Raw genomic sequence first — 21,069 nt, 5'->3', positions numbered from 1 at the left:
TTAACATGGTGAAACCCCATCTCTATTAAAAATACAAAAATTAGCCAGGCGTGGTGGTGCATGCCTGTAATTCCAGCTACTCAGGAGGCTGAGGCAGGAGAATCGCTTGAACCCGGGATGGGGAGGTTGCAGTGAGCCAGGCTGGTTGCGCCACTGCACTCCAGCATGGGTGACAGAGTGAGACTCCATCTAAAGTAAAAAAAGATACCATTATCCATCTAATATAGGCTCTAACAGGTTACTCCAAACACAGCTACGACAGAACAGTCTTTCCACACATCAAAGATTATCCTCTTAGACTAGACAGCCTCCTATGTGACAGTCAAGCAAGGCGGGAAGACACCATGTCCCAAGGAGATCCTCTACGCCACCCTGGAGAAAAGCAGTTGACCTGTCCCAGATAGGCCGTCCTTTGATGTATCAGCACCATCTCTTGCAGGCAAGACAAAGGCATGGAGGTTTGAGGCAACAACAGGAAGCCACCTAAGAACTGCTGCTCTTTGGATGTCAATATTAAGAACCAATCACTATGAGTTTGAGACCAGCCTGGGCAACATAGCAAGACTGTGTCTCTATAAAAAGTTTAAAATTAGCCAGGTGTGGTGGTAGTTCCAGCTACTCGGGAGGCTGAGGTGGCAGGATCACTTGAGCCCAAGAAGTCACGGCTGCAGTGAGCCATGATTGCACCACTGCACTCCAGTTTGGGTGACAGAGCAAGATCCTGTCTCCCCCACCCCCAATCTCCCACCAAAAAAAGAATTTATATAGATATAGATATAGATATCGATATAGATATAGATAGATATATATCTTTTCTGAGATAGGGTCTTACTCTGTCATCCAGGCTGGAATGGAGTGGGGGCACGATCACAGCTCACTGCGGCCTCAACCTCCCGGGCTCAATCCTCCTACACCAGCCTCCCAAGTAGCTGGGATCACAGGCTCGTGCCACCATGCCAAGCCAATTTTTGTATTTTTTGTAGAGATGGGGTTTTGCCCCCATGTTGCCCAGGCTTGTCTCAAACTCCCAGGCTCAAGCGATCCTCCTGCCTCAGCCTCCCAAAATGCTGGGATTACAGGCATGAGCTACCACCCCTGGCCGACAGGTATCTCTTCAAAAACCAATTTTGAGGCCACCTGTCATAGAAACCATCAGTGATACACAAAAAACGGCAAGACAGAATCCTGGCCTTGTGAAGTCTACAGTTTGTGATAACCAGCACTTTCTTGGTTCCAATGGATAAACTCCAACCCATGCTCGCTTAGAATAATAAAAGGTGGAAGGGGTCTTATAGGAGGGATCCCAGGGGGAGGGGTGTGTGAAGTCAAACAAGGAGCTAAATATCCGGGCTCAGAAAGGCTGGGAGACCAGCACTAGGGACAAGTCCCAGTTAACTCAACCCCTTCACAGCGTGAAAGGGCCTTGAGTTGCCCTGGGCCCCAGCTGATGTGGCTGGTTCCCAAAGAGAAATTCACTCTTCTTAGGTTGAAATGCTTGATGGTTTGATTAAGATGTCAACAAGAAATCTCAATATCTATATAGCTTGTGTATGTTAAACCAACTTAACTCTAACTGTGGGTGTCGCCAGTTCCCAGGAAAGAAAATGAGAGAATAGATGCAAGCTCTTATCACCGGAAAATTTCACCGCATGACATAAATCATGAAAACAGGATGTATTTCAACAAGGAAGAACACTGAGAAAACTATTTAGGTATAATTCGATTTAATCAAAGACACAATAGAACTGGATGGGAGAATATGAGGGAGGCTTGTTTAATTATAAAGCCCTGCAGAGGACTTGCCACAAAGCAAACATGCATTTAGGAAAGACTAGACTTTGTTTCACTGAGAATGTAAAGTTACATTCATTTATCCACTCATCCATCCATCCATCCATCCATCCATCCATCCATCCATCCAATCCATCCATCTATCCATCCATCCATTCATTCATTTATTCATTCATCCACCCATTCACCCATTTATCAATCCATCCATCCATTCATTTATCCATCCATTCATCCAATCCATCAATTTATCCATCCATCCATCCATCCATCCATCCATCCATCCATCCATCCATTTATCCATCTATCCTTCCATTTATCCATCTATCCTTCCATTTATCCATCTATCCTTCCATTTATCCATACATTCATCCAATCCATCCATTTATCCACCCATCCATCCATTCATTTATCCATCCATTTATCCATCCATCCATCCATCCATCCATCCATCCATCCATCCATCCATCCATTTATCCATCCATCCATTCTGATTTTCTACTGTGTTCAGGAAAGACACAGTGCAAAAAGCTCTAAGGACAAAACAATTAATAGGATGATGTTTCTGTACCTTCAGGGAATTTACAATTGCCTGTGCATCCAGCTATGTATTTGCAGGATAGTTTCTATTTTCCTTTATGGAAATTCTAGTAGCATTCTATCATGTTGCATATCCAAAAATTGAGCCAGATTTTCTTCACTCACATGGTGACTGGGGAAGGTGGGAAATGAGAGGCTGAGAGATTCCATTTCAACTGGAATGTAAAACGTGCATCCACTTATGCTCCAGGGGGCACCCTTACATAGAATATTCTCTGACTTCGGTGTTGGGCAACGATATTGGTTTTTAGTGTGCCAGGTATTTGGGAACAGGGAGATTTTAGAGAAGTTTTCTGTCTTTGGGGATTCAGGAGGATAGGTTATCTGAGATTTTATTTTTTATTATTAATGTATAATATACATTGAGGAAAGTGTACAAATCTTAAATATACAACTCAGTAAAGTTTTGCATAGCTATACACTCATGTGCCCTCCCTGTAAATGAAGATATAGAACATCTCCACCCCCAGGAGGTTCCTTCATGCTGATTCCCTGACTATACCCCCTCCCATAACCGTTATTCTGACTTTGTCACATAAGTTGCTTTTGATGGCTTGAACTTCATAAAAATGGAACCATACAGCATGGACCCTCCCACTGGTCTGCTCCTTTTGCCCATCTTAATGTCTGTGAATCACCGTATTGTTGCATTTAGCAGCAGTTCATTCTTTTTATTGCTGTGTTGCCATTGAAGGAACACACTCCAATGTATTTATCTATTCTCTTGTTGGTGGATATTTGGGTTGTTTGCCATTTGGGGTTATTGTGACTAAAGCTGCTATGAGAGTTCTTCTGCATGTCTTTTGGTGGACATGTGTGCTTATTACCCTTGCTAAATACTCAGGACTAGAATCTGATAGTATTTTTCGATTCTAAAATCTTTGTTCCTGAAGATACATTTTTTTCAATCTCTGGATATGTGTACTGATATTTATTACAGAGATCTATCTGCAGCCCACAGAAAATTGATTTTTAATTGTGACTGGCACCAGTTTGCAGAAGGCATGCTGTTTTGCTCTGAAGTCACACAATGAACACCATCAACATTTATGCTACACAGCGAGCAGATGAGGCCATGAAGGGAGTTTGGTGTACTTTGCTCCTTAAAGCTAATTGATTAAAATTAAAATTGATTAGAAGAGTATGTGTGTATGTATACATGGAGTTGGCTCTGGAAATAATGCATTTCTTTTAAAAATTGCAGTGAGGCTGGTTGTGATGGCTCATGCCAGTAATCCCAACACTTTGGGAGACCAAGGAGGGAGGATGCCTTGAGGTCAGGAGTTCAAGACCAGCTGGGGCAACACAGCAAGACTCCGTCTCTACAAAAAATATTAAAAAATAGCCAGGAGTGGGGGCGTGCGCCTGTGGTCCAGCTACTCAGGAAGCTGAGGTGGAAGGATTTCTTGATCCCAGGAAGCAGAGGTTGCAGTGAGCCCTGATCACATCACTGCACACCAGCTTGGGCAACAGAGGGAGACTCTGTCTTCAATAATAATAATAATAAATAAATTTTTAAAAATTACAGCTGAACAGTATGGTGAAAGCCTTGAAGTCCTGAGGAGCATCTATCCTGAAAACCATGAGGACATTGTGAAGGCGGAAGCTTATAGCCCTGGATGACTGATTGGATGAGAAGTGTGAAGGAGAGGGTGCAGAGATAACCCTGAGGTTTCTTGACTGGATGACAAGGAAAATGGTCATGCTACTAAGATAAATAAGAAAACCAAGAGAAAGTCCAGGCAGGAGATCATTTGAGCCCAGGAGTTAGAGGCCAGCCTGGACAACAAAGCGAGACCCTCTACAACAAAAAAAAAAAAAAAAAAAAAAAAGCCAGGCGTGGTGGCACATACCTGTAGTCCTAGCTACTCAGGAGGCTGAGGCAAGAGGATCACTTGAGTCTAGGAGTTCCAGGCTGCAGTAAGCTATGATCTCACCACTGCACTCCAGCCTGGGTGACAGAGTGAAACCCTATTAAAAAAAAGAAAAGAAAAGAAAAAGAAAATCAAGAGAAAGAGGAGTTGCATCACAAATATACTCACATTCCTATGCTGATATGTAAAGAAAATGTAATTTCTTTATTTCTCCATAACCAACCAAAATTTTCAAGTGAGATCCCATTTTCTGGGTAACAGGAAACTGTACTTGGGCTTTAAGTTTGCCAAAGATTGGCCAGGTGCAGTGGCTCACACCTGTAATCCCAGCACTTTGGGAGGCTGAGGTGGGCGGATCACCTGAGGTTGGAGACTAGCCTGGCTGACACAGCAAAACCCCATCTCTACTAAAAATACAAAAATTAGCTGGGTGTGGTGGTGCGTGCCTGTAATCCCAGCTACTTGGGAGGCTGAGGCAGGAGAATCGCTTGAACATGGTAGGCGGAATTTGCAGTGAGCTGAGATCGCGCCATTGCACTCCAGCCTGGGTGACAAGAGCAAAACTCCACCTCAAAAAAAAAAAAAAAAGTTTGCCAAAGATTGGTACCTCAGTCTCTGGATGCTTTGATTTCTTGAACAAATGCTCAGTCTCCACCCAGACCCCACTGGTACCTCCCAGCCCTCTAGTCTTTCTCCAAGAGGCATCTAGGTATGCAGAGTTGGAATTGGCTGGATCACCAGGGCTCTTGATGACCTCATGGAGGTAAAGTTGATTATGAAGTTTGTAATGTATAAATTGTAAAATAACGAGCAGCTTATTTAGAAGATCATAAAAGCAAGAATAGCCAGGAAGCCTCTGCTAAACATGTGTAACAGGAATGGGAGAAACGGAAAAATATTACAAAGCCTCTGTGGTTAAACCAGTGTGGTGTTGGCACATAAATAGACACACAGACCAAGAAACAGACTAGAACATCTAGAACAAGATGCAATTGCTTATGGAAACTTAGTATATAATAAAAGAGCCAACTCAAATCAGTGGAGAAAGAAGGACATTTTTTAAAGTGGTTTTAGGGCCAGGCAAGGTGGTCTTATGCCTGTAATCCCAGCACTTTGAAGAGGCTGAGGCAGGAGGATCCTTGAGAACAGGAATTGGAGACCAGCCTGAGTAACATAGTGAGACTCCATCTCTACAAAAATAAAACATAAAAATTAGCCAAACCTGGCGGTGCACACCTGCAGCTCCAGCTACTCAGGAGGCTGAGGCAAGAGCCTAGAAGTTCAAGGACGTAGTGAGCTATGACCCGCCACTGCACACCAGCTTTGGCAACAGAGTGAGACTCTGTCTCCAAAAGATAAAAAAGAAAAAAGTGGTTTTAGGGTATCTGGATAGTCATGCAGAACAATATAACATGGACTCCATTCTTCACATGGTACACTGGGATAAATTCCAAATCAGAGACTTACGTGTGCAAAATTAAGCCCTACAACTAATAGAAGAAAACATGAGTGTAATCCTTTGAAACTTTTGCACAGAGAAAACTTTCCTAAGGCTTAAAATCCTGAAGCAATGAGAGAAAAAGATTGATAAATTTGTTGACATTAAAACAACTGTGCATGGCCAAAAACCCATAAGCAACATATCACATACTGGGAAAAATATTCTAGACAAAGGGTTATCATCCCTAAATATATGAGTAGCTTCTAAATTAAAGAAGAAAAAGGCCAACAAGTTGATAGAAAATTGGACTAGAGAAATAGACAAGTCATAGAAAATGAAATCCAAATGGCCCTTAACCATATGAAAAAATTCCCAGTCTTCCCTATAATAAGAAAACTGTAAATTAAAACTCACAAAGATACAGCCGGGCGCGGTGGCTCACGCCTGTAATCCCAGCCCTTTGGGAGGCTGAGACGGGTGGATTGCTTGAGCTCAGGAGTTCAAGACCAGCCTGGGCAACATAGTGAAACCCCGTCTCTACTAAAAATACAAAAAATTATCTGGGCATGGTGGCAGGCGCCTGTAATCCCAGCTACTAGGGAGGCTAAGGCAGGAGAATCGCTTGAACCCAGAAGGCAGAGGTTACAGTGAGCTGAGATCACACCATTGCACTCCAGCGTGGGCAACAAGAGTGAAATTCCATCTCAAAAAAATAAAATAAAAAAAAATAAAAATAAAAAAATAAATAAATAAATAAATAACTCACCAAGATATCATATCTCACCCAGCAGATTGGCAAAAGTAAAAAATGTTTAACATATTCTTGACCAAGCTGTGGGAAGCAGGCATTCTTATACACTGCTGGTAGGAATGTGAAATGGTAGAATTGCTATGGAGGGGAATTTGGCAATATCTAGCAAAACTACATATGCAGTCATTCACTGAGCTGGCTTTCCTGCTTTTAGGTATTTATACCAAAGATAATGTGGCAAAAATATGAAAAGATGCGTGCGCTTGGCTATTATTACAGCACTACTTCACTAAGAGGCAACCGCTTAGCTGTCCCTCAGTAGAAGGTCTGGTGGATGACTTATGGTACATTTACAAAATGGAGAGCCATTCAACTGAAAAAGAAGATATTTCTACATATTATTACTATGTAGTTATTTCTGGGTTATATCTATAAACGGAAAAAGCAAATGGAAAAACATATATAGCATATAAATGTGTATACCATTTAGGTGATAGACCTATGTGATTTATATGATTAAAAGGAGGGATATGAATATGCACACACGCACACACACACACACACACACACACACACATTTTTCTTTAAATACATCTGAACTCATATTTTTAAAAATAGAAAAACCATAAAGTGGGGCTGGGCGTTGTGGCTCATGCCTGTAATCCCAGCACTTTGGGAGGCTGAGGCAGGTGGAGGCTTGAGTTCAGGAGTTCGAGACCAGCCTGGCCAAAATGGAGAAACCCTGTCTCTACTAAAAATACAAAAAATAGCCAGGTGTGGTGGCACATGCCTGTAATCCCAGCTACTTGGGAGGCTGAGGTGGGAGAATCCATTGAACCCGAGAGGTGGAGGTTGCAGTGAGCCAAGATCACACCACTGCACTCCAGCCTGGGCAACAGACTATTTAAAAAACAACAACAACAACCCACCATTAAGAGGAAAAGGCCTACTCAAATGGAGAAAACAAGAGTAGAGTTGAGAGAATAGGTATAAAGGAGAGACTTCTCTGACCCTACTTTGTCTGGTAGATTTAATTTTTGAAAGCAGGTAAATATTCTGCATAATTATAAAACAAAATTAAATTTAAAAAGGATAAAAGCGATCCCTAAAAATAGCAAACAATGAAACAAATGGATCTATATGTTAAGTCGGTGACATAACCCACAGAGGTGAGATAGTTCAGGAGATGTTAATTCATAGAAATTTGATCATATATCCATAGTGAAATAGATCCTAAGGACAAAAAGAACTACAAAAATGAAAAAAAAAAAACTTTTCAGTCTTCATCTTGATAATAGTGTTGGTATTATTATTTTGAGATTGGTGTATACGGGGTGTGAGATGAAGCAAACTAGTAATTATCACAGTGTCATTGAGAACCAGGATTTGGGCATGGGAGAAAGGAGACACAGGTGTGAGACTGAAAGGCCTAAGGAAGGACAATGTAGTCCTGAATTTGACTTCAACTTATCTGAATCTATTAATGAATGAATTCATTGCGTATTTTATCTTTGAAAAATGTGTTTCTTAATACCATCCACTGAAAAGCCCTACAAACAGCAACCATCCCTAAGCTGTCCTACCATCCAGACTGTAATATTTAAATAGCATTTCCAGGCAGGCGCGGTTGCTCATGCCTGTAGTCCCAGCACTTTAGGAGGCCGAGGCAGGCGAATCACGTGAGGTCAGGAGTTTGAGACTAGCCTGACCAACATGGTGAAACCCCGTCTCTACTAAAAATTCAAAGATTAGCGGGATGTGATGGTGTGTGCCTGTAATCCCATCTACTCAGGAGGCTGAGGCAGGAGAATCACTTGAACCCAGGAGGTGGAGGTTGCAGTGAGCCAAGATCACGCCACTGCACTCCAGCCTCGGCGACAAGAGTGAAACTCCGTCTCTAAATAAATAAACAAATAAATATAATTTACTACTAAAAGGAACCATGGTATCATTTCCTACTAGAAAGAACCATGGAGCAGGGGGTGGAATTCATTTGCCCAGCTTCCCTCATAAAATTATACCTGATCATAACCAAAGAGTTGATGAGAGAAGTTTTTTATTTAAAGAATTAGTCTACCTAGGCAGGGCGCGGTGGCTCACACCTGTAATCCCAGCACTTTGGGAGGCCGTGGCAGGCGGATCACAAGGTCAGCAGTTCGAGACCAGCCTGACCAACACAGTGAAACCTCATCTCTACTAAAAATACAAAAATTAGCTGGGTGTGGTGGCGCGCACCTATAATCTCAGCTACTCAGGAAGCTGAGGCAGGAGAATCGCTTGAACCCGGGAGGCGGAGGTTGCAGTGAGCAGAGATCGTGCCACTGCACTCCAGCTTGGGTGACAGAGCAAGACTCCATCTCAAAAAAAGAAAAAACAAAAAAGAAGTAGGCTATCTAATAAATGAAGAAGGAATAATAAAATATCATAAATTTGCAACGTCTACTTTATCGTTCTAGGCAATGGTCACAAACAGCTGCTAACATCACCAAACATTATGTGCCTCTTTGCCAAAAACTTCAAACCTGAATCTGAACAGCTCTAAATTTAACCACCAACTAACAGAAAATACAGTGGACAGAGTGATACGTAAACCACCCCTTAGGGGCGTGATCTGCAAAAACCAGCCTGTGAGAAACTCCAGGTTTCTTCAACAATCAATTGCAAGGAAAAAGAGTAATAAAAGGGAACCAATAGTTTTTTGAAAAACAGGAAACATATCAACAAATTTCAACGTATAGCTCTTAATCAGATTAGCCAAGCTCAGTGGCTCTTGCCTGTAATCCCAGCATTTTGGGAGGCCGAGGTGGGGGAATCACCTGAGGTCAGGAGTTCAAGACCAGCCTGACCAACATGGTGAAACCCCATCTCAACTAAAAATACAAAAATTAGCCAGGCCTGGTGGTGCATACCTGTAATCCCAGCTACTTCAGAGGCTGAGGCAGGAGAATTGCTTGAACCCGGGAGGTGGATGTTGCAGTGAGCTGAGATTGCACCACTGCACTCCAGCCTGGGTAACAGAGGGAGACTCCATTAAAAAAAAAAAATTAAAAAAAATCTTAATTGGATCACGATTCAAACAAATTGTAAAACAATAAGGAAATAAGGAAAATTTGAACACAGGTTGGATATTAAATGATTTCTTTATAGTAGTAGTAGGTGAGTTATATGGATGAATTCATCATGGCTTGATAACTAGTGAAGCTGGGTGGTGAGTACATGAGAAATCATTGTACCCTTCTGTCTATTTTTGGATATATTTGGAATTTTCCATGATAAGCGATTGTTATTGAAAACCTACTCTGCGTATCCAAAGCTGAACATTCTCCTCCTCCTCCTTGCATTCCTTCTGCAACAATCCTAACCCTCCCAGAGGCAGAGGAACGGCCAGAAATCAAACACGGGACTGCAATAGAGAAAAGCAACTGACATATTTCCAAAAATATTATTTCCATTTCAGAAGCTTTATTTTTGATGGAAGATGATAAGTTCCATTTTACATGTGTTGAATTTGAGCTTCCCAACTCCAGCAGGAGTCAAAAACGCAAGACTTCAGACTGGAAGGCATGTCAGGGCTGAAGCTGTGAAAACAGATAATGTCCCCGGCAGAACAGAAACAGAAGAAAAAGAAAAAGAGGAGCACTTGGGATAGAGTCTTTCCCCTCCTCCCTTCCTTTCTTACTCATTCATTCAGAAATGCATGTGTAAGTGCCTATAAGCTACAAGAACCAGGGAGATAAAAAGATGAAAAGGTGGCATTTATTGAGGAAGAAAGGCATTAGGTGTGCCAGGCGTGGTGGCTCAAGCCTGTAATCCCAGCATTTTGGGAGGCTGAGGCGGGCGGATCATGAGGTCAGGAAATCGAGACCATCCTGGCTAACATGGTGAAACCCCATCTCTACTAAAAATACAAAACATTAGCTGGGCGTGCCTGTAGTCCCAGATACTCGGGAGGCTGATGCAGAAGAATCGCTTGAACCTGGGAAGCAGAGGTTTCAGTGAGCCGAGATCGTGCCACTGCACTCCAGCCTGGGCGACAGAGCGAGACTCCTTCTACAAAAAAAAAGAATAAATGGAAGGCATCTGGTGCTATGAAAAGCATTAGGTTTTGTGATGGGGGTAGACATGAGGCGGAGAGGACACACAGAAGACCTCTTAAGTTTGACTGAAGAATTCAGAGAAATGCTCTTGTTTGGGAGGCCAGAGAAAAAAGTGAAACTGAGACTCAGGGCCATGTCTGAGTTCTGGCCAATGAAACTATGGGGGACCTTCTGCGAAGATGTTTTTCCTGTCTGCTAAAAAGAAAGCCCTTTTCTGCCCACATCCTTCCTTGCTGCTTCCTGCTGTGGGTGCAGTGTGAGGCTGTGGTGCTTGGAACAGCTGCAGCCACTCTGTGACCAGGAGTCAGCAAGCATGAGGACGAGATGTCAACACACTCAGGGTGTTTGAAGTCACCTGATCCTTGATGCCATTGCTGAGCTACTAAACAAGCTCTAAGCAGCCTAGACTCATTGTTAAGTAAACAATAAATCCTTTTATATTTTTTAAAAATTATTTCAACTTTTATTTTAGATTCAGGCGTTTCTTACATGGGTATACTGTGTGACATTGAGGTTTGGGGGTATGAGTGATCCCACCACCCAGATAGTGAGCATAGTACCCAATAGTTATTTTTTCAGCCCTTGTCCCCTCCTTCTTCCTGCTCCAGGTGACCCCAGTGTCTATCGTTCATATCTTTATGTCCATGAGTACCCAATGCTTACCTCCCACTTAGGAGTGAGAACATGCAGTATTTGGTTTTTCTGTTCCTGAGTTAATTTGCTTAGGATAGTGGCCTCTAGCTGCATCCATGTTGCTGCAAAGGATATGATTTTACTCTTTTAAAAGGCTGTGTAGTATTCCATGGTGTATAGGTACTACATTTCCTTTGTCCAATCCACCACTGATGGGCACCTGGGTTGATTCCATGTTTTGGCTATTGTGAACAATGCTGCGATGATAAATGTTCTTATATTGAAAACATTATTAATTTGAATACTCTATTACTTGGAATAAAGTGAACTCTCTGGTGTGGTGTTTCTTCTCTACCAAACTATGAATTGCTTGGAGAAGCAACACAGCAAAATGCTCCCAACAGACCTTGTTGATGTATATGATACCAGTCTTGAAAGCAGCAAAAACTGGAGTGGGCAGAATCCAGACTGATGGAGTGAATGTGTGGTCAATGTCAGCTTCTGGGATTCCTCCCACCCACCAATGAAGACTATAAAGATGAGTCAGGGTCAAAGCCATGTATGGATTGAGCCAGAAGGTAGCGGGTAAATGAATGCTCTTGACCATAGGTATTCCCTCTTGGGCTCCATCTTCCCAACCGCTTTTTCCTCAATACGGAGGGTGCCTCCCAGCAGAGCGGGGCCACCTCTGCTTACATCAGCAAAAGGTGATCTTGCCAGGAAAAGGAGGTAGGAGCAGCATCTGAGAAAGTAGCAGGATTAAGGAAAGAATTTCTTTTAGAGTGGGAAGACTTGAGCATGTCTGTGGATTGAAGAAAACAAGAAACCAAAAATGGAAGCAAAGCAGGTGATTGATGGAGCAAGGTGGAGGAGGTGGAAAGATCCAGAGATGGGGGGATGAAGAGAGGCTGGTTCATGGGTATAAAAACACAGTTAGAAGGAATGAGTTCTAGTATTCAATGGTGCAGTAGGGAAATTATAGCTAACAATAATTTATTATATATTTTGAAATAGTTAGATTTGTAATGTTTCCAAAACAAAGAAAAAGATAAACGCTTGAGGTGATGGCTATCCCAATTATGCAGATTCCATCATTACCCATTGTATGCAGGGATCAAAACATCACACATACCCCATAAATATGTACAACTATGATATATCAACTTAAAAACACAAAAAAGGAGAGATGCAGAGGAAAGGTATTTTTTCTCGTGAAGATAGGCAAAGAGAAGAGAATATATGAGATACGCTAAGGGGAAGGATATACAAAGAATTTTCCTGGCTGACTCTGATGCCAGACAGGCAAGCTGCAAAACTGGGGCTTAGCCTGGGAGGGTTCTTGGCTTCACCCCAGAAGGAATTCAAGGGTAAGCTGGTGGTGTTAGACGCAGCTTTTATTGGAGTGACAGTGTACGGTGGCAGCAGAGGGACTGCTCCTTGCAAGGCAGGGCTACCCTTGAGGCAGGGAACCTGGAGGAGCAGTTCAGAGGCAGCTCTGCCATCACGTTTATACCCACTTTTAATGACATCCAAATTAAGGGGATGATTATCCAGAAACTTCCAGAAAAAGAGTGGTAACTTCCAGGTCATCAGGTTGTTACCATGGAAAGGGACGATAGCTTCCGGTGTTGCCATGGCAATGGCAGTTGATATGGCATGGATAGGCATTTCTTATGGGGAGGTGCCCTCGTCTCTTCCCTGTCTCAGCCAGTTCTCTATCTGGTCTGGAGTCCCAGCCCTGCCCCCAGAGCCAAGTCCCTCCTTCTACCTCAACCCAACTGCAGAAGGCAGAGTTGTTGTTTCAGGGAGATGAAATAGAGCCTGGTCTCCAGTGGCCTCACAGGTAGCATCTCCCTGAGGCATCCCCAAGGTCAAGGGGTCAGAGTTCAGCCTTCTGTTTCAGAAATCAACTGTGTGAGCAGAATTGAGTAGACTGAAAGCGATTGTCTTATATTCACCTAAGCAGTCACTCCTGGGCTTCAGACTGAGCACTGTTTCCAGAGTGTGGTAAGCCATTCTACCTTTCTGAGCCTTAGTTTCCCTATTTTCAAAATGATATGAAAAGTAGTAGTTTTCTGAAGGGGCTGCTGTTATAATCCAACCTGATCATTCGTGTAATCTATGAAGCACAGTGCTCAATAAACTATTACATTGGGAGGCCAAGGTGGGCAGATAGATCACTTGAGGTCAAGAGTTCAAGACCAGTCTGGCCAATATAGTGAAACCTGTCTCTACTAAAAATACAAAAATTAGCCACGCTTGGTGGCAGGTTCCTGTAATCCAAGCTACTCAGGAGGCTGAGGCACAAGAATCTCTTGAACCCGGGAGGTGGAGACTGCAGTGGGCCAAGATGGCACCACTGCACTCCAGCCTGGGTGATAAAGTGAGATTCAGTCTCAATAAATAAATAAATATTACAATTTTTTTTTCAACAAAATTATTGAACACCTACTTTATACCAGGCACTGTGCTCTGTGTGAGGACATACATAGGTAAATAAAATTAGCAGTGTATACCTGTCTTCATGAAGCTGTCATTAATGCTGCCAAGGGAATAATAAACGCAATGGGTTCCCATCTGAGAAACTCCAGAAAAAACCTGTTCTAGGCAGGCATGACTGTGGAGGTTTAGTAAATGCACACCAATTGTATAAAGTCAGAATGAGACTTTAAGTTTGTGTCAAGACACATAACTTGATAGGGGTCAGATCAATGCAGTCAGCTCTACAAAACACTATGGGAACGTTGCTCAGTGAATGTGGAATCAGGGTGTAGTGGGTTCAATAATTTCCCCCGTTATGGTTTGACATGGTTTTTTAGGCCCCACCAAATCTCATGTTGAAATCTGATCCCCAGTGTTGGAGGGGGCCTTGTGGGAGGTGTGTTGGTCTTGGGGGCTTGGTGCCATTCTCGTGGGAGTTAAGTTCTCACTCTTAGTTCTAGCAAGAACTGGTTATTGAAAAGAGCCCGGCCCCTCCCTCCCCTTTTTCCATATGGTCAGCACATGCCAGCGCCCCTTCCTCTTCAGCCGTAAGTAGAAGCGGCCTGAGGCCTCACCAGACGAAGATGCTGGCACCATGCCTCCTGTGAAGCCCACAGAATCATGAACCAAACAAGCCTCTTTCCTTTATAAATTTTCAGCCTCAGATATTCCTTTATAGCAATGCAAGATGAAAAACCTCCCAAATTCATATCTACCCAGAGCCTCAAAATGTGACCTTATTTGAAACAGGGTATTTGCAGATATAACTAAACATTAAGATGAGGTCCTATTGGATTAGAGTGAGTCCTAAATCCAATCTTTGTGTTCTTATAAGAAGAGGGAAGATCACGCAAAGACACAAGAGAAACAGACAGAGAAAGAAGGGGCCATCTGAAGGTAGAGGCAGAGACTAGAGTTATGTGGCTACTACCAAGGAGCCCTTCAAACCACCAGAAGCTGGAAGAGGCAAGGAGGGCTCCCACCCTAGAGCAGAGCCTGGCTAGCACCTTGACTTTGAACTTGCGGTCTCCAGAACTGGAGGATGCACTTCTGTTGTTCTAAGCCATCTAGTTCGTGGTGATGTTATGGCAGCCACAGTAAACTAATGTGCAGAAAAGGCAAGTCTGTTCCCTGCAAATGGCTTGTGGTTTCCTATCTGGAAGCCCAGCTAGTTGGCTTTGTTTTGTGGCTCTACTCACCAAGACACCACACGCTGGCCAGCTGATCATGGCCGCTGCTCCCTGCACAGAGCTGGGGCCTCCCTCCCCCGCTGTGGACTTCAGGCCAAAGCCCCCACCCTGCTGGCATGTTCTTTCCTTCTTACAGAGCTCCGTGTCTTCACTTAATCTCCCCAGCCACACGCTCCCAGACCAGACTGTCACTGGTGTTTCTCAGATGGAAACTTCTACTGATGGCACCTGGGTTCTCCTTCCTTCCACTCTGAGAATGCAGGGAGTGTCCTGCCCACATGCTCTTGCTCTGCTCACATGTGGGGTGAGCACCTGATAGATGCCCTTCAGAAGATGGGGGTGGGCCAGGCATGCTGACTCACGCGTGTAATCCCACCACTTTGGGAGGCCGAGACAGATGGATCACTTGAGGTCAGGAGTTTGAGACAAGCATGGCCAACATGGCGAAACCCCGTCTCTACTAAAAATACACAAATTAGCCAGGCATGGTGGCGAGTGCCTGTAATCCCAGCTACTCGGGAGACTGAGGCAGGAGAATCTCTTGAACCTGGGAGGTGGAGGTTGCAGTGAGCCGAGATTGCACCACTGCACTCCAGCCTGGGCGACAGAGCAAGGCTCCATCTCAAAAAAAAAAAAAGAAGGTGGGGGAGGAGGGAGAATGGGGGTGGCGCTCAGGCAAGGTGACTGGAGAACAAGGGGGTGCCCACACCTCTTTCTTGCTTCTACTAGATGAACATTGGTCAACAGATGTAGCCAAACTCCTGTAGGAAGATGGGACCTCCATAAGTATCTATTCTTCCCTGATTCCTCTCCCCACAATCTACGTTGTTTGGATTTAAAAATAAGTTGCATCTCAAAAATGTTGAGGCTGGCTAACAATGACCTTGTCACAGCTACTCTGAGCCTCCGGAAGTTTTTAGTTTCATCTTGTTCATGAGCTTGCAAAAAAATCCTGTTTATAAGAATCAGAAATTGGCCTTCTATTTATGAAACAATAGCAAGTGATAAAGTAAACACAAACATAGCATACTTGAAAATAGCAGGACAGAAAATAAACAGTCGAAAGAAGTCTGAGCTAGCGCATTCCCTGGCTGCGTTCCACTCCTTGCCAGGGCACACACTTGCGGCCAGCACGTTCCTTCGTGAGAGGCTTGGAGCTTGACTGACAGCTGTCACCCTGGCCCATCTCAGGCCAGAGTGTATCAAGTTTGTGTCCTTTCTTTAGGTTGCCAGCCCCAGGGGGTCAGAAGCTACATGATATCACTATTTCTATTCCCAGGCAGTGGTTTGCCCACAGCGAGCACTCGGTAAATGCCTCACATTCATTAAGAGCTATTTCCATTGTACTTATTTTTGGTATTTAGTTCTTAACATATCCATTCCATCATGACCTCTGTTAACTGCTGACACATGGGGTGTGCTCAAAACAAATGTGTTTTCGTCTCCTATTGTCCTTTTAAATGTGTTTGTGGAAGGTGATCATCCTTGCCCTTGAATGGAAAATTGGGCAGAACTCTGGCTTCTCTGCTAACTCTTTATTTTTTTATTTGTTCATTTAGAGACAGAGTCTGGCTTTGTCATCCAGGCCAAAGTGCAGCGGCGAAATCATAGCTCACTGCAGCCTTGACCTCCTGGCCTCAAGCAATCCTCCCCTCTTGGCCTCCCAAAGTGCTGGGATGACACACGTGAGCCACCACACATGGCCCAGACTGTACATTTTTTTTAGACTGTACTTTTTTTTTTTTAATACAGAGTTTTGCTCTTGTTGCCCAGGCTGGAGTGCAATAGAGCTATCTTGGCTCACTGGCACATGCAAGTGGGAAGAGGGGTAGACTTCATCGCAGGCTAACTGGATCCCAGCTTGCCTCACTCCCCTCTGCGTGTTCACTTTGGTTGTAGGTGGGCATCTTCCATGTGCTGGGGCAGGCAGCTTGTGATGGCCCAAGCACACTCTTCTAGCACTGTCATCCCAGAAGAGGCCACCTATGAACACACCCATTTAGCACTGTCACCCCAGAAGCAAGAGGCCACCTTCTGATGGCCTGAACACACCCTTCTAGCACTGTCACCCCAGAAGCGAGAAGCCACCTGATGGCCTGAGCACACAGTACCATCACCCCAGAGGTCACCTTCCTCAGCAGCTCCATGAGAAAAGTCCTGGAGAAGGGGGCCAGTGGCTTTGCTAAAGTCAGGCAAGCAGCTGAGATGACAGGAGGAGGGAGACACACGCCAGGCCTCCAGGGGACAAACGGCCACTCCAGCAGTCTACAGGCATTGGAGCCCCTTGCCACTAAGAAGAAAGGAAAGCTGTAGTCAGCTAGATGCGTTACTGATGTCTCACCTTTTCTGTCTTTTTTTTTTTTTTTTGAGACGGAGTCTCGCTCTGTCGCCCAGGCTGGAGTGCAGTGGCGCGATCTTGGCTCACTGCAAGCTCCGCCTTCCAGGTTCACGCCATTCTCCTGCCTCAGCCTCCTGAGTAGCTGGGACTACAGGCATCCGCCACCATGCCTGGCTAATTTTTTGTGTTTTTAGTAGAGACAGGTTTCACCGCGTTAGCCAGGATGGTCTCGATCTCTTGACCTCGTGATCCGCCCGCCTCGGCCTCCCAAAGTGCTGGGATTACAGGCATAAGCCACCATGCCCGGCCACATTTTCTGTCTTTTACTCCCTCCATTTCACTTCCCTCGGTGGTGTCTATGCTAGAAAGTGACTGAGATGCTGTTAGGAGCCATAAACTAAAACTAAAATCCTAAGTCCCCCACCGACTGAACAGACCCCCTCGTGGCTAAGGGGACCCCAGAGAAATCTCCAAAGTTGAGTTCTTGGCCATGACGGGAAGGGAGGTCGGACGTGCCTGGTGATACTCCTCCCTTTTGGAGTTAGACACGATGGCTGACCGGCATTAATGTCGAAATAGAGATCTGACTGACAAAACAGACTCTTTGTGCCAATAAGATGCCAAATTATAAACAGGCTCTAAGGCCGAGCCAGGCAAGGGTTAAGTCACACACTCCTACAGGTCACTCTGAGCCAATGTATTTGTTAACACAGGGGCCCCCAACCCTGTTAGGAACCAGCTGCACAGCAGGAGGTGAGTGGCAGGTGAGCTTCCTCTGTATTTACAGCCGCTCCCCATCACTCATATTACTGTCTGAGCTCCACCTCCTGTCAGATCAGCAGGAGCATTAGATTCTCGTAGAAGCGTGAACCCTATTGTAAATTGTGCATTCCAGGGATCTAGGTTGTGTGCTCCTTATGAGAATCTAATGCCTGATGAGCTGTCACTGTTTCCCATCACCCCCAGATGGGACCATCTACTTGCAGGAAAACAAGCTCAGGGCACCCATTGATTCTACATTATGGTGAGTTGTATAATTATTTCATTATATATTACAATGTAATAATAATAGAAATAAAGTGCACAATAAATGTAATGCACTTGAATCATCCCAAAACCATCCCCCCAACCCAGTCCCTGGAAAAGTTGTCTTCAATGAAACCAGTCCCTAGTGCCAAAAAGGTTGGGGACCGCTGGGTTAGCAGGCTTCTTTATCTCAACTTAAACATTCCTTTCTGCTGACTCCAAATTTTTAGACAAAGCCTTACTTGTTAACTAATTTCAATAAAGAGTCTCTGGGCCAGGCACGGTGGCTCATGCTTGCAATCCCAGCACTTTGGAAGGTCAAAACAGGCAGATCACCTGAGGTCAGGAGTTCGAGATCTGCCTGGCCAACATGGTGAAACCTTGTCTGTTCAAAAAATATAAAAATTAGCCAGGGGTGGTTGTGCAAGCCTGTAGTCCCAGCTACTTGGGAATCTGAGGCACGAGAATCACTTGAACCTGGGAGGCAGAGGTTGCAGTGAGCAGAGATCATGCCAGCCTGGGTGACAGAGTAAGACCCTGTCTCAAAAAAAAAAATCTCTGAAAGGACCTATGACCTGTAAGCCCCTGCTTCAAGATGTCCTACCTTTTTGGGCCAAACCAATGCATGAACTCCATGTATTGATTTATGACTATGCCTGTAACCTGTACTTCCCTAAAATGCATAAAACAGAGTTGAGGCTGGACGTGGTGGTTCATGCCTGTAATCCCAGCACTTTGGGAGGCTGAGGTGGGAGGATCACCTGAGGTCAGGAGTTTGAGACCAGCCTGACCAACATGGAGAAACCCCATCTCTACTAAAAATACAAAATTAGCCAGGCGTGGTGGTGCATGTCTGTAATCCAGCTACTCGGGAGGCTGAGGCAGGAGCATTGCTTGAACCTGGGAGGCAGAGTTTGTGGTGAGCCAAGATCGCACCATTGCACTCCAGCCTGGGCAACAAGAGTGAAACTCCATCTCAAAACAAAACAAAACAAAACAAAAACAGAGCTGAGGCCTAATAGCCTTGGAACCCCTTACTCAAGGTTTCTTGGGTTTGCGTTTTTCCCCAGGTGATGGTCACTCATATTGGCTCAGAATAAACCTCTTTAAAATATTTTACAGTTTGTTTTGTCCTTTAACAGAGCTAAATTGTGTCCCCTCCCAATTTATATGTTAAAATTCTTTTTTTTTTTTTTTTGAGACGGAGTCTTGCTCTGCTACCCAGGCTGTAGTGCAGTGGCACAATCTCGGCTCACTGCAATCCACCTCCCGGTTTCAAGCGATTCTCCTGCCTCAGCCTCCCGAGTAGCTGGGACTACAGGGGCCCACCACCATGCCTGACTAATTTTTTGTATTTTTAGTAGAGATGGGGTTTCACCATATTGGCCAGACTGGTCTTGAACTCCTGAGCTCAGGTAATCCGTCGGCCTCCCAGACTGCTAGGATTACAGGCGTGAGCCACTGCGCCCAGCCCCAATTTATATATTAAAATTATAATCCCCAGTACCTCAGAATGTGACTGTATTTGGAGACAAGGCCTTTAAAAAGGTAATTCAGATAAAAGGAGGTCATTAGGGTAAGCCTAATCCAATATGACTGGTGTCCTTACAAAAATGAGGTGGGGACACAGAAACGCAGGGATGGCCCCGTGAGGATGCAGGGAGGAGACAGCCTACAAGCTGAGGAGAGAATCCTCCGAGAACCAACCCCTCTGTCACCTGATCAGGGACTTCCACCCTCAGCACTGTGAGGAAGTTTCCGTTGTTTAAGCCCCTGCCTGCGGTACTTTGTTATGGCAGCTCAAGCAAACCAGGACAGATGCAGTGGCATCCCAGAAGAAAATGAAGTCTTGGGAAAGGAACCTGGAGGTGAATCGGTGTCTCTTTTGAACTTCCTGGTGCAAAGATGGGGTGGCACGCTCCGCCACTGCTCAGCTCGGTGCCAAGCTCCACTCCAGAGAAGCCGGGGGGCAGAGGGAGGGGACAGAGATGCTCACTGCTGCGGTCCATCTACCTTGAGGAGGAAGCCCTGCTTCCTTCTTGCAGCATGTAATTGGGGCTGAGTCACAGTGCCAGTGCCACCCTGCTCAGCCCAAAAAGCAGAGCAGATGGCAGCAGAGAAGAGCAGCAGGAGAGGTTCATTGGCCCCTCTCTGCCTCCAGGAAGGCGCCACACAGAGCAGACTGTCAGGGCGCCCTCATTTGCAGGGCCAGAGCCAGGGCATGGAGAGGGGGCACTCATCTCGGGTATGAAAGCTTAGGGGGCTCCAACAGCTCAGCAGTCAGGATAAATCATCCTTTAATGCAATATTGTTTAAAATCTACATTTATGTAAACAAATCTATGATGAACAAAATGTTTCTGATATTTCCTTTTGCCTCAGGATCCAATGTGGTTAGCACAGAGCTTTTACGGATCCTGTCATTATTTAAAATTGTATTTTTTATCATTTTTTTGCATTAATTTTTATTTTTAAAATTACTGCATTGGCTGGGCGCAGTGGCTCACACCTGCAATCCTAGCACTTTGGGAGGCAGGCAGATCGCCCAAGGTCAGGAGTTTGAGAGCAGCCTGGCCAACATGGTGAAACCCCATCTCTACTAAAAATACAAAAATTAGCTGGGCGTGGTGGCAGGTGCCTGTAATCTCAGCTACTTGGGAGGCTGAAGCAGGATAATTGCTTGAACCTGGGAGGTGGAGGTTGCAGTGAGCCAAGATCATGCCACTGTACTCCAGCTTGGGTGACAGAGCGAGATTCTGTCTCAAAAAAAAAAAAATACTGCATTAAAATATTTGTCTTCAGTTGCATTCACTATATGCATACACACACACACATCACACATTACAAATGA

At 44.7% G+C, this 21,069-nt stretch overlaps 2 annotated features.

Annotated features, from left to right (window-relative positions):
* Positions 14,544–15,044: an enhancer, noted in NCBI's record as "H3K4me1 hESC enhancer chr8:42516917-42517417 (GRCh37/hg19 assembly coordinates)". NCBI's record gives its function as "activates a minimal SCP1, AML or CMV promoter by ChIP-STARR-seq in naive H9 embryonic stem cells {active_cell/tissue: H9 hESC(naive)}" and the evidence as "EXISTENCE:reporter gene assay evidence [ECO:0000049][PMID:30033119]".
* Positions 17,798–18,092: a silencer, noted in NCBI's record as "tiled region #2659; HepG2 Repressive DNase matched - State 5:Enh, and K562 Repressive non-DNase unmatched - State 23:Low". NCBI's record gives its function as "represses a minimal TATA promoter and a strong SV40 promoter by Sharpr-MPRA in HepG2 and K562 cells {active_cell/tissue: HepG2 | K562}" and the evidence as "EXISTENCE:reporter gene assay evidence [ECO:0000049][PMID:27701403]".

This window comes from Homo sapiens, chromosome 8 (assembly GCF_000001405.40).
Source record: "Homo sapiens chromosome 8, GRCh38.p14 Primary Assembly".
NCBI classification, from domain to species: Eukaryota; Metazoa; Chordata; class Mammalia; order Primates; family Hominidae; genus Homo; species Homo sapiens.
The sequence above is the reverse complement of the archived record's forward strand: the minus strand, read 5'-3'. Positions and strand labels throughout refer to the sequence as shown.